Source organism: Homo sapiens, chromosome 11 (assembly GCF_000001405.40).
Source record: "Homo sapiens chromosome 11, GRCh38.p14 Primary Assembly".
In the NCBI taxonomy this organism is placed as follows: Eukaryota; Metazoa; Chordata; class Mammalia; order Primates; family Hominidae; genus Homo; species Homo sapiens.
In genome coordinates this window covers 79,078,955-79,091,048 of record NC_000011.10, presented here as the reverse complement: position 1 = coordinate 79,091,048, position 12,094 = coordinate 79,078,955, and the positions used below count along the sequence as shown (strand labels likewise).

At 47.6% G+C, this 12,094-nt stretch overlaps 1 protein-coding gene across 5 annotated transcripts in view, besides 1 other annotated feature; it reads left to right on the top strand.

The window, feature by feature from the left end:
• Nucleotides 1–12,094, top strand: part of TENM4 (teneurin transmembrane protein 4) — a 788,202-nt gene that overhangs the window by 349,982 nt on the left and 426,126 nt on the right. The gene's annotated exons all lie outside the window — the stretch shown is intronic.
• Nucleotides 3,255–3,977: an enhancer, noted in NCBI's record as "OCT4-NANOG-H3K27ac-H3K4me1 hESC enhancer chr11:78798117-78798839 (GRCh37/hg19 assembly coordinates)". NCBI's record gives its function as "activates a minimal SCP1, AML or CMV promoter by ChIP-STARR-seq in naive H9 embryonic stem cells {active_cell/tissue: H9 hESC(naive)}" and the evidence as "EXISTENCE:reporter gene assay evidence [ECO:0000049][PMID:30033119]".

Sequence of the window (12,094 nt, the reverse complement as noted above, 5' to 3'; positions counted from 1 at the left end):
CTGACTGCCAGCGTCTGACATTTCCCACTGTACCTCCAGACTCTCACAAGTATCAGCCACCCCAAAAAGCCAGCCTGACTCCCCCACAACCCCAGAATGGGTGAGGGAGGCAGCCCTTCAGCAGGATCTGGGATGGGGATTATCTGTTTCTGGCTCAGTTTCTCCCACTAAACAGTGAAGTCCCACAAGATAGGACCATAAAAGACCCATCTTGGCAGCCTCATGCCCAACACAGGGACGTCGGTTGAATAGGGAACTTAGGAAAGGATGATGGGCAGAGATGGAGTGGTGAGCCACCAAGTCCCAAGGCCAGGGCTTGAGTTCCCAAAACCCCAAACATGTTACCTCTTACCTCTTAAGTGCCAAAAGTAGTATGGGAGGCAGAGGCGCACAGGGGATGGAGTTCGGGGTTCAAATCCCAGCCCAGGCACTTACTGACTATACAACTTTGGCTAAGTCCTGAGCGTCTCTGTGCCTTGGCTTCTCATCAGTAACAGGAGTGTAACAACTCTCCCTTCAGTGGAATGCAATGCAGAACGAATGAGTTGCCAGATGCAAGCCATGCCTTCTCAACAGTGCAGCCCTCTTCACTTGCTGCCATAGGCAGCTCGCCACCTGCCTTTCTTCTGCACGGGTGTCTGCATGTTGCATTTAAGCAGGAAGCATCAGTCACGCTGACAAATATCTGTGCCCTCAGGTGGTGTTTGTAACCAATTAGAGGTTTGGCATTTATTCTCAACTGCCTGTTGTTATATTTTTCAAATAGCCAAGTATTTAAATAACATCAGCCTGATTGCTCCTGCAGATTCATAGCCCTTGTCCTGCACCAGGGAAATCCTCTTGCAGACGGCAGCTGCAGCCTTGTGGAAGGGACATTGGGCATCAGAACACTGTAGTAGAGTCCGAGCTCTGCTCCTTGCCAGCTAGGTGACCTTGGACAAGTCACTTCTCCTGGTGCAGGCTTAATTTCCTCAACAAGAAAAACATATATTTGTATAGTGCTTCACAGCTTCAAAGCCACATCTGCCTGCCCCTGTGACATTTCCATCTAAATGTAGCTGACCTTTATCACCTCCATGATATAGCTAAAAAAATGGAGGCTCTCTGTGTGGGGCTTTGAATCTCAGCTCCCTTAAGAAGTGCTGTGATGTAGAGCAAATCCTTGCCCTCTGTGATTCTCAGTTTCTATAAAATGGCAACACAACAGCACACAAATATCACCAGACACCTAGTGGGAGCCCAGCAAATGAGAACCACTGTGTGTACTTGTTATTGGTGTATTAGTGTCATTCGTCTAGCATCACAAAGCCAGGTCTCAAAGTCAGCTCTCTTGAGCCAGACCCCACACTCTTGCCTGCGGCCATTGGAATGCTACTAGTCTGTGGGCCAAACATTAAGTAGCAAGGATACTACTTGCTATTCGCTCACTGAACCATTGGGATGAGGATATGAAACCTGCTTCTTTGGGTTAGCTGGGGCAGTGTGATTGGCAGTGCTGTGTACATCATGAAGTGCCAGGTCCAGGTAAGGACTGGGCACTTCCCTCTGGTGAGGTAGATCCAATTACTTGCTATAGACCAAATTATAAGCCCAGACTCTTTCTTTTAGATTATGCTAAAAATCATTCTCTGGGCCCTTCCTGTTTCCTGTTTAGCACCAGGCTCTGACTTGAACACCCTTTCCTTGCGCTCGTGGAATGGGAGGAGAAGGAAGCTAGCAGGCCAAAGCAGGCACAACTTGGGAAGGTCGAGGCAAAAAGGGCCAGTTTCCAGCCATCTAGCCTGTTGTGGGGCCTGGCCCTCTTGGGGGCTAATCCCCTTTGTGATGCTCCCTTGGAGCAGGCACAGAGTCTAAGCCAATTAAAACCCTCCCTTTGAAGGTGGTTCAGGTTTCCCAGAGAGCACAGGCCTGCACAGTGACCCAAGGTAATTGTTTCAAGGATTGCTCTCCTCTCCTCCCTGCTGGCCAGAGCTGGAGGAAGACCAGGGCTTTGTCTGGGAAGGCTCCATCACATTTTCCCGCTCCAGACCCCCAGATGACCATGTGGGTCTGCAGGAGAGGCAGGATGGCAGGGATATAAACAACTGACCATCTTACAGATGAGGAAAGTGAGGCCTGGGATGGCTATGCAGGGCTGAGATTCAAACTGCAACATACCTGCTCAAAACTGGTGCCTGCTCTGTCTTTCTAGGACAAGAACCAAACCCTTGTCACCTTCAATCCCAGCACAGATGGGGCCTATAGTAGGTTTCTAGTACATATTTGTTCAGTGATGACTGAATAAACAAATAATGCTGAACAGGAACATTCGTCTTAATGCAATAGTGTGAATGGGCCGGAGAAATCCAGAACTGCATCTGGGCCGGAGTGAAGTATTAAATACTTGATAATACTTAGCAATAGTAGTCATAATAAACAGCCAAGTGCGAAGCCTGTTCTAAGCTCCTTCTAACTCACTCAGTCCCCCCAACAACCCTATTGGGTAGGTCAATTATCTCCACTTCAAAGATGATATAGAGGAATAAAGAGGTTAAGTGAATTGTGCCTGGCACACAGCTGGGGCGCACAGAGCTGGGAGTCGAACCTTGGCTTCCTGACTGCAGAGCCAATGTCTGGGCTGCTATGCACCCCTTTCTTTCTAACAGGAATGTCTTCCTCTGTGAGGTTCAGATGGTGATGACCTTCACCCTCCCTGTCTCCCCGCAATACAGGGTCTCAGTGACATGAGATGTGAAGGAGCTTTCCATTAGAAACACCATACTAGACAATCTGGACCATTGCCGGCCAGCAGAGGCCAGGCTGGGCCCTAGATACCATCACCCTCTGGGTTTCAGCCCTGGAGAGAGCAAGCAGCCCCACTCCAGCTGGAGGAGCCTCCAAGACTGGTACATTTCACAACTGAGATTAAAGACCCATAAAAGCAGAACCGATGGAGTGACAGGCAGAGTGTCTTAATGAAAACAAATTTAGAACTACAATCAAGAGAACAAAGTGAGGATCGGGCCCTGGGAAGCCAGACTCCAGTGACCCAGGTGTAACATTAGCCAGCTGCGGGGCCAAGGGCCAGAGCTTCCCCACGGAAAGAACAGCCTGGGGCCCTCCTGGAAGGTAGAGAGGCAGCCACAGTTGCTGAGGGAGGCTCTGCTCAGCCCACAAGAGCCCACTGTAGTGCGTGTGCAGCCTGGAGGCTGTAGAGGAGCACAGCATTTGTCCTGTATACCCTGGTGACTGCTAGGAAGGCAAACAGGGCCTCCTCAGCTAGAGTCAGGGGCCCCTCCTTCACCCCCAGTGCAGAGTGATTAAGGACATTCTGAGAATGTCACCTCTGTACAGTGAGCTGCAGGAAGGACCTTGTAAAGGGAAGGGGGCATCTGAAACAGGAGAATGCAGAGCTCAGAGCTAACATCCCTCGATCCCTCACTAAGGAACATGCGACTGGGCCCAGGGCCGAGGACAGATCTTTTCAGCGCTTCTGTGTTTGTTAGATGGTTTTTTGTTTGATTTGGAAGCCTTGTAGGGATTTGAGGCTGGATGGTACAAGTTCATGCAGGACTTGTGCTAACAGCGATCTCTGATCCCAAGCAATAGGATTCCCATGCAGCATGTTTCTGCTCCAGCGGGGAGCTTGGTTTGATCAGAATCCTCTCAGCATGGGGACTGGCATTCCTCAAACATATGGAATTCATCCAACGACATTCCCTTCTAACTGGGGGGTAGTTAATCATTTCCTTGTCTGTCTCACCCTCGGAATGCATGGAAAATTTAAGGACATACCTCTGCACTCAGAGTCAAAAGAATTGGGCTTTATCTGAGTCCTGGTTCCTGCTTTTTGCTAGCTGTGTGACTTGGAAACAAGGCACTTTGCCTCTCTAAGCTTCAGTTCTTTATTTAATACAGGATCATAGCTACTCAGAAACATTTGTTCATTTGTTCAATTAGCCATTATTTATTAAGTGCCTACATTTGCAAGGACAGAAGCTTGGGTTTTATGCCGAACAAGAGAGACACAGTTCCCAACTCTGTAGAGCTTAGAGCATATAATTAAGCAACTACTTAAATATAATTTTGGTAAGTTATCAAAAAAAGGTACAGAATGGTAGATTAAATCACATTAAAATGTGTTAGAAATGTATAAGTTCTAAAGTACTATTTAAACACTAGGCAGCATTATCCTTATTACCCTCGTAATATTTCCTTTTTTTTTTTTTTTTTTGCGAGACAGAGTCTTGCTCTGTCACCCAGGCTGGAGTGCAATGGAATGATCCTGGCTCACTGCAACCTCCGCCTTTCAGGTTCAAGCGATCCCACTGCCTCAGCTTCCCAAGCAGCTGGGACTACAGGCATAAGCCACCACACCCAGCTAATTTTTCTATTTTTAGTAGAGATGAGGTTTCACCATGTTGGCCAGGCTGGTCTTAAACTCCTGACCTCAAGTGATCTGCCCGCCTCAGCCTCCCAAAGTGCTGGGATTACAGGCATGAGCCACCAGACCTGACCCAGTTCCTCTTATTTTTAAAATACCTTAATGATCTGATCCTCAGTTTCCTCCCCAGTAATATGGGAATTATAAAAATACCTATGTCAGCCAGCCTTTGCTATATAACATATCACCCTAAAATGCAGTGGCTTAAAATGACTGCATGTTGGTTCCTGTTTCCAAGAGTCAGTTATTTGGGCTGGGCAAAGCTAGGTGGTTCAGCTAGTCTCCCCTGGGTTCACCTGTGTGGCTATAATCTACCGGGTGTTGGTTGGCTCAGCCCTGTGGCTCCAGCAACAAGTAGGCTAGCCTGGGCCTCTTTATATGACAGCTGTTTTCCAAAAGCAGGGGGAGAAGGCAATCCCAAAGGCTCAAGTGTTTTTCATGCCTCTGATTCAAGTTTGCTAATATCCGCTTGGCCCACTGGCCAATGCAAGTCATGTGGCCAACCCCAGAGTTAGTGTGGGGGACTACACAAGAGTTTGGAAACAGGGAGGTATGATTCCTTGGGAGCCATTAGTATGGCAGTCTACCATCATGCCTCACTTCCAGAGTCGTTCTGGTGACTTAGTAATAAATACAGGATGCTGTGCTTGTGGTGTTTGTATGAATATTGGTGACTGTACATAGTAGATGTTTAAGAATTGGTCGGTCAATATGAATCTGAGCAGCTTGCTACCTTATTAAGGAAAAGTGACATTACACAGGAAATAAGTGGCAAGCAATTGGCCAAAACAGCATGTAAAGTGTGGGGTTATGGGTATATGCAGAGCAGTTTCAGGTAATAAGACTGCATCTGACTTCAATTTTCAACCTTGGTGTTTTACATTAGCCAAAAGAAACTTTTTCAGAGAAGAATGGCCAGGATGGAGACAACGTGAGTGAGGACTGAATCAGGGGAAGGCAAATAAATACTTCTCCTGGATAACAAGGCAACATTTACACCTATTGACTGAGTCTTTATTAAGTGCCAAGCATAGGATTGAGCCTTTCTATGCATCACCTCATTTGAGCCTCAAGACAACCCTGTAAGGTGGTATATACTATCCCCATTTTACAGATAAGGAAATTGAGGCTTAGAGAGTTTATCATCCAAAGTTGTACGAGAAGTATGTAAGAGATTCAGGGTTCAAATCAAGGTCTGCCTGACTCAAAAAAGCCTGACCCAAAAAAAAAACCCCCCTTTTTTTTTTTTGAGACAGAGTCTCGCTCTTTCGCCCAGGCTGGAGTGCAGTGGCGCGATCTCAGCTTACTGCAAGCTCCGCCTCCCGGGTTCACGCCATTCTCCTGCCTCAGCCTCCTGAGTAGCTGGAACTACAGGTGCCCGCCACCACACCCCGCTAATTTTTTTTTTTGTATTTTTAGTAAAGAGGGGGTTTCACCATGTTAGCCAGGATGGTCTCGATCTCCTGACCTCGTGATCCACCCGCCTTGGCCTCCCAAAGTGCTGGGATTACAGGCATGAGCCACTACACCCGGCCAAAAAAAACCCTTTTCTCTACATTGAAATTTTTGGGAACATTATAGTTCACATGCAATTATAAGAAATAACAAGAGATAGCCTGTGTACCCTTTACTCAGTCTCTCCTAATAGTAACATTTTACAAAACTATAGCAAAAGAACAGATAACACAAGCAGGATGTTGACGTTGATACAATCCACTCATCTTATTCAGATTCCCCATTTTACTTGCATTTATCTGAATGAGTGTGTGTGCATGCATGTGCGTGTTTACTTCTATACTATTTTATCACATGTGTAGGTGAGTATATGCAGTCAAGACAACGAACATTTCCATCACCATAAGTTTCCTTCGCAGTCCTCTTTTATAGCCACACCCACCTCCCTCCCACCCCTACCCCATCCCTAACCCCCTAACTACCACCAATCTGTTCTCCATTGCTAAAGTTTTATCATTTTTCTTTTAAACATGTTATATAAATGGAATAATGTAGGATGAAAGCTTTGGCGATTGGCTATGTGTTGACTCAGCATAATTCCCTGGTGATTTATTGGTAGCATTAGTTCATTGTTTTTTATCACGGAGTCATATTCCATGGCATTCTGTCATTGATTTAACTGCTTACCTGTTGAAGGATATCTGGGTTGTTTCCATTTCTCGGCTATTATGAATAAAGCTTTTATGAACATCATTGTACGGCTTTTTGCATGAACATAAGCTTTTATTTCTGAGGGATAAATGCCCAAGAATACAAGCGCTAGGTTGTACAGTAATTGCATATTTAGTGTTCTAAGAAACTGCCAACCTGCTTTCCAGAGGGGCTGTACACTTTTATATTCCTACCAGCAATGTATGGGTAATCCAGTTTCTCTGCATCCTTGCCAGCATTTAATGTTGTCACTATTTTTTATTTCAGTCATTCTGATAGGTGTATGGTGATAGCTCACTGTGGTTTAATTTGAATTTCTCTGATGGCTAACGATGGTGAATATCTTTTCATGTGCTTATTTGCCATGTGTATATATCCTTTTTGGTGAAATATTGGATCACGTCTTCTGGCCATTTTCTAATTGGATTGTTTGTTTCTCACTGTTGCATTTTGAAAGTTTCATATATATATGTGTATACACACACACACACATATATATATATTCTAGATACTAGGCCTTCCTTTGTTAGTATGTGGTTTGCAAAAATTTTCTCCTACCTGTAGCTTGCCTTTTCCTCCTTTTAAGGGTATTTTCAGAGCACAAGTTTTCAATTTTGGTTAGGTTCCATTTATCAAATTTTCCTTTTTTGATCATGCCTTTGATGTAAAGCCTGTGTTTTTAACCATGGTGCTCCACTGCTTCCCAGAGCCTGGAGAAGAGAGGTCTTGGTTTGGGAGGAGGTCTTTGGCTTGCTTGTGAGGTTCTAAGGCATATGGAGTTAGGGCCGCCAGGAAGGCTCTCACAGGAGGTAAGTTTCAGCTCACTATCAGAATGAATTGTCCAAGGCCAAGTTTAGAGAATGAAATGTGTTAGGAGTAAGCTCCCTGTCACGGGAGCTCAAACAAGGGCTGGCTGCTATCCACGTGGACTCACAGAAGGAATTCAAGCATCAGATGGGGCTTGGGCAACTGTATCCCTCATGTTCCCTTTTAACTAAGAATTTGGGAGTGTGGTTTTTGAATTAGCCCTGCCTGAATGGGAGTTTTTAACAAATATATCCCCCGGGTTGAGAAACGTATAAAGGCTTTGGATGACAAAACCGAACCAGTCTCAAGAGGAGGTGGCCAGCTGAAGCCACCCAGTCTGCCATTATCTTGTCTAGGGACAGAATGCACGGAGGCCGAAGGCTTGCGATGGCACAGGCTGTGAGGCTGGGGCCTATTCCTGGATCCCTGTCCCCATCTTGGAGGCAGCTGCACACTGCCTGCCCCACCTCCACCCCAGCAGCCTCTTCTCCATTCAGACTGCCCTGGAGAATCCCTTTCTTTACGGCACTTATAAGACTTAATTACCAACGGCAAAGTCCTTTGAGGCCTTGGATGAAAGGAATGGGAGCAGCACAAGGCTTGATTAGGCGTGTAGAACTCTGGGCACAATTAGCTCCATGAGAGACTGGCCCTGCCTTTATCTGTCTCCAGTTCTGTGTGACTTACAGCGGCTAATTATTGAAATAAAAGTTGCCTGGCCACCCAGCTGCTGGAAAGAGGGCCTTAATATCTATTAAGTCTGCCTTTAATTATTAGAGATGGAGGCAGCTTCAGGCAGTTAGGGTTTTCCTATCATTATGGGCCTTTTCCTCCACCCCTTTGAGGCTTGGATACCCAGAGATGTCAGTGAAATTCTGCCAAAGCTACATCTCTCCCTTGCTTTCTACATAGCTTCCTTTCCAAGATGCCTTTACTAATCCACCTTTCCTGCTGTGAGGACCCATAGTCACACCTCCCCAAGGGCCTTTGCAATCACTGCATCTCACAGAACTTGGAGCCCTAGATGGAGCATTTTAAATTCCTGTGTGTGTGTGTGCACACATGGGTGCACACATATGTGCATTTTTCTGGGGTATCAGGGCAGTTCTCAGGCATAGATTAAATGTGACACCCCACACCAACCCATTTTGCAGAAGAGAAAACTGAGGCCGTGGAAGGAAGCAGGATGGAGCTGACAGCTTCTGGCTTTTCACTTGCTGGGATGCGGCTGACTGCCAGTCACAACCCCCCAAGCCTTAGCTCCCGCCTCTCTAAAAACAAAATTTCAAGCAGCATCAGGAGGGCACAATCAGTTGCCCCCTTCACAAACCTGGGGAGCTTGTGTGGGGCCGAGGGAGTGGATTTGTGCTACCGAAAAAGAGCCACTTAGAGGATGCCAAGGGAGAGGGTTGGCTCGCAAAGGTTTCCAGCTTTGGGGCTTTCATTAGGCAAAGAGAAAGTCAGAGAGCTTTGCACCTAGAAGGACCATGGAGGTGGCATATGGAGAGTTGTATATTTTTATTCACTTTGGTTCAACCCAGCAAACCCTGGATGCACCTCTAAGCTGTTCTTAGCATTGGGGAAGAATCGAGATGTTATAAGTACCAATGAAGTTAATGATCCAGGTGTGTGGGCATTTTCCTAACAGATGATGAAATTGAGGCACAGAGCAATGCAGGGACTTTCCCAAGGACAACCCACCTGCTCTAAGAGCCCATGTGAGCACCAGCTGAGGGAGGGAAGGACTGTTCCGAGGTCACTTTCAAACCGCTATTGTGTGGGCTTCAGTCATCACGAGTTGAGGGACGGCCTGAGTCATAGTAACTGAGGAGGAAATATAAGGGCTGGGGGGATAAAAACAGAAATTTTCTTCCTCTAGGCCCGCCCTGCCCCTGCCCCACCAGCAAAATTGAAACCTGTGTCAGCCACGAGCACTCCGAGCCCACATCCATTGGGCAGCAGTTCTGAGCTTGATCCAGTTCCATCCCCAGGGCTCAATAGCAAAAGGCCTGGTGAACAGAGTTACAATAGAGCCTTTGGTTTCTGAACAATCACAGCAGTGGGCCAGCAGCCATTAAGCATGTGTGCATGCACACACACACACACACACACACACACCACCTCTGACAGGAAGGACAGCCTGGGTAATCCCTGCTGTCCTCCCAGCTGTGATCAGAGGCTGATGGTGACCTCTAGATTTCTATCCTTTCAGCTTAGCATCAGTGTCAGGTATGCCCAGGGCATAGACTACATGTGTCTGGACCTGGAGTTTTATAAGACAAGAAGCTATTGTGCACACAAGGTATCTTGATGGCACCCGGAGAAGCCATTGTGATATTCCTTCCCTGCTCAACAGAGCATCTTCTCTGGGCCTAAAGAGCAGAAAGGATGTCTCTAAATCCTCCCTTAGCCACAGACCCAAAGCTGTATGAACTCAGGCCCAGCGTCTGGCTGAGAAGACAGAGGAAAAGAGGGACTAACCCCTTCCTCCAGCTGTTGTGTTCAACCAAGAACTTCCTTCAGGCTGAGGAGGCCTTTGTGTTAAAACTAAGTTTCACCATTTCCAGAATCCTTCAACTGATGCCTGCCTTTCTGGGATGTTGGTTTCCCTTCTGTCTCTCTCCTCTCTCACCTCACAGAGTGGAGGCCTAATAGGGCACCCAGGTAATTACAGGTTAAGATTGGACGCAGTAGGGGACGTGTGATTAATCAGCCTCTCTCCCTCTTCCCTCTGCTTCCTAGTGTGGTCCCAGAATAAGCCCAGAGAAAGTCAGGAAAAAAATGTTTTTACAGAGAATTGGCAATCCAATAAACTGGGTTTCAGGCCTGACCCTTGAAGGGGTTTTCTAGGAAAAGGGTTTTTCTAGGGAGAAGGAAGGAAGTATTTTTCCCTGGGGCCTGAAGTACAGAAGAGACTGGCAATTTCCCAAAGTGCTGCTTACAAGGAAACTCAGAGTCCTAACAGCCAGCTGTACTTGGGGCCCCAGTGGGTCTGGCTTCCAAGAAAGCCACATGGGACTGAGTGCCCCAAGGCAACATGTGTCAGATACAGGAGAAAGGGGTGCAGGGGGGACATTCAGGCTGCACCAAGAGGCTTCCAGTGGATTCCAGTCAACACAATGGGAGAGGCAGGCCAGCAAACGGGATCATCTTCCTCTCCCTGCCCTGTTAACCCCTGCTCGGCTTTTCAGACCCGGCCCAGGGATTCCTCCTTCAGGCAGCCTCTGCTGCCCACCCCACCTGATGCAGTGCCCCCCTACCCCGGGTGTCTGTGTCAGTTGCTCTTTTGCATCCTTTGTGCTGGAATCACCTGTAGACGTGTTTGTCCTTCTGACATTCCTGTGGGCTCTTCGAGGATCAAGACTGCATCCGCTCCAACCCCTTGTCCCCGGGTCTACCCTAGGATCTCATAAAGCCTTGTTGGATGGGAAAGAGGGAACGAGGTTGGACAAACCCAAGGAAAAGGTCACCAGAAAGGTGAGGGCTTGAAAACTGTGGGAGATATGTTAAATCTGAAGAGAGGATGCAGACACCCAGACCAGCCCGGTCTTCAGTCTGGAAGAGCTATTGCTGAGGCAAAGGCATTAGGCTTATTTCCTGAGACCCCAAGGAGTAGAGCTGAGGCCTGTGGAAGGAAGCTAAAAGGAGGCAGGTTTCAGCCCCCTGAGGTAGTAAAGTCCCCAGCTCTGGAGCTGGTGTGACCACTCAGTAGGGATGGGACTGAGGAGGGTTTGGGCACCTGATGGGGCTTGAATCAGCTGACCTTTGATGTTGTTTTCAATCCGAACACATTTTCTTTCTTCTTTTTTTTTTTTTTTTTTGAAACAAAGTGTCACTGTGTTGCTCAGACTGGAGTGCAGCGGCTCGATGTCAGCTCACTGCAACCTCCTCCAACTCTCAGATTCAAGCAATTCTCATGCCTCAGCCTCCTGAGTAACTGGGACTACAGGTGTGGACCACCACACCCAGCTAATTCTTGTATATTTCGTAGAGATGGGTTTCACCACATTGGCCAGGCTGGTCACAAACTCCCGGCCTCAAGTGATCTGCCCTCCTTGGCCTCCCAAAGTGCTGGGATTACAGGCGTGAGCCACCGTGCCCAGCCTAACACATTTTCTGACTCTAAGATGCCACCATTTGTCAAAGGGAATCATTGGCTCCTACGTGACTTTGGGGGCAGGAAGGATGTAGACCAAAGGAATCTGGAAGACACAGCTACCATAATACCATCTGTTGATGGAAGGCCTGTTGTGTCCTAGGCCCTGCACATGCCCAGCCCTCTAGGGGGTCAGGCAGCTCTGGGGGGAGCCCTCCCAGCTCCGCAGCTCAGGATCAGAGAAGCAGTGCCCATACAGCAGCTGTCTGCCCTTTGATACCTGGCCTCTGACAAGCTCTCTAACAGAAGGGCAAGATGGCTTCTGTAGACAGCGGCACCATCTGTCACCTGCCTGCCAGCCGCTGATTAGGGATGTCCCTGTAGCCAGGCTGGGCACACAGCCACACTCCACCACGCTCCCAGGAAAGCCCTGTCTCTGTCCCGACAGTTCTCTTTCTGTACAGGGCACGTATCAAGCAGCAGCTGTAAAAGCGCTTCTCCCAGGAGTCCAGGCCAGGTGCTGACTCAGTTCAACAGAAGAATTAATAATGTTTTTTAAAAAAGGTGAAAGAACAAATAGAACATTTAAGCCAATTAGAATA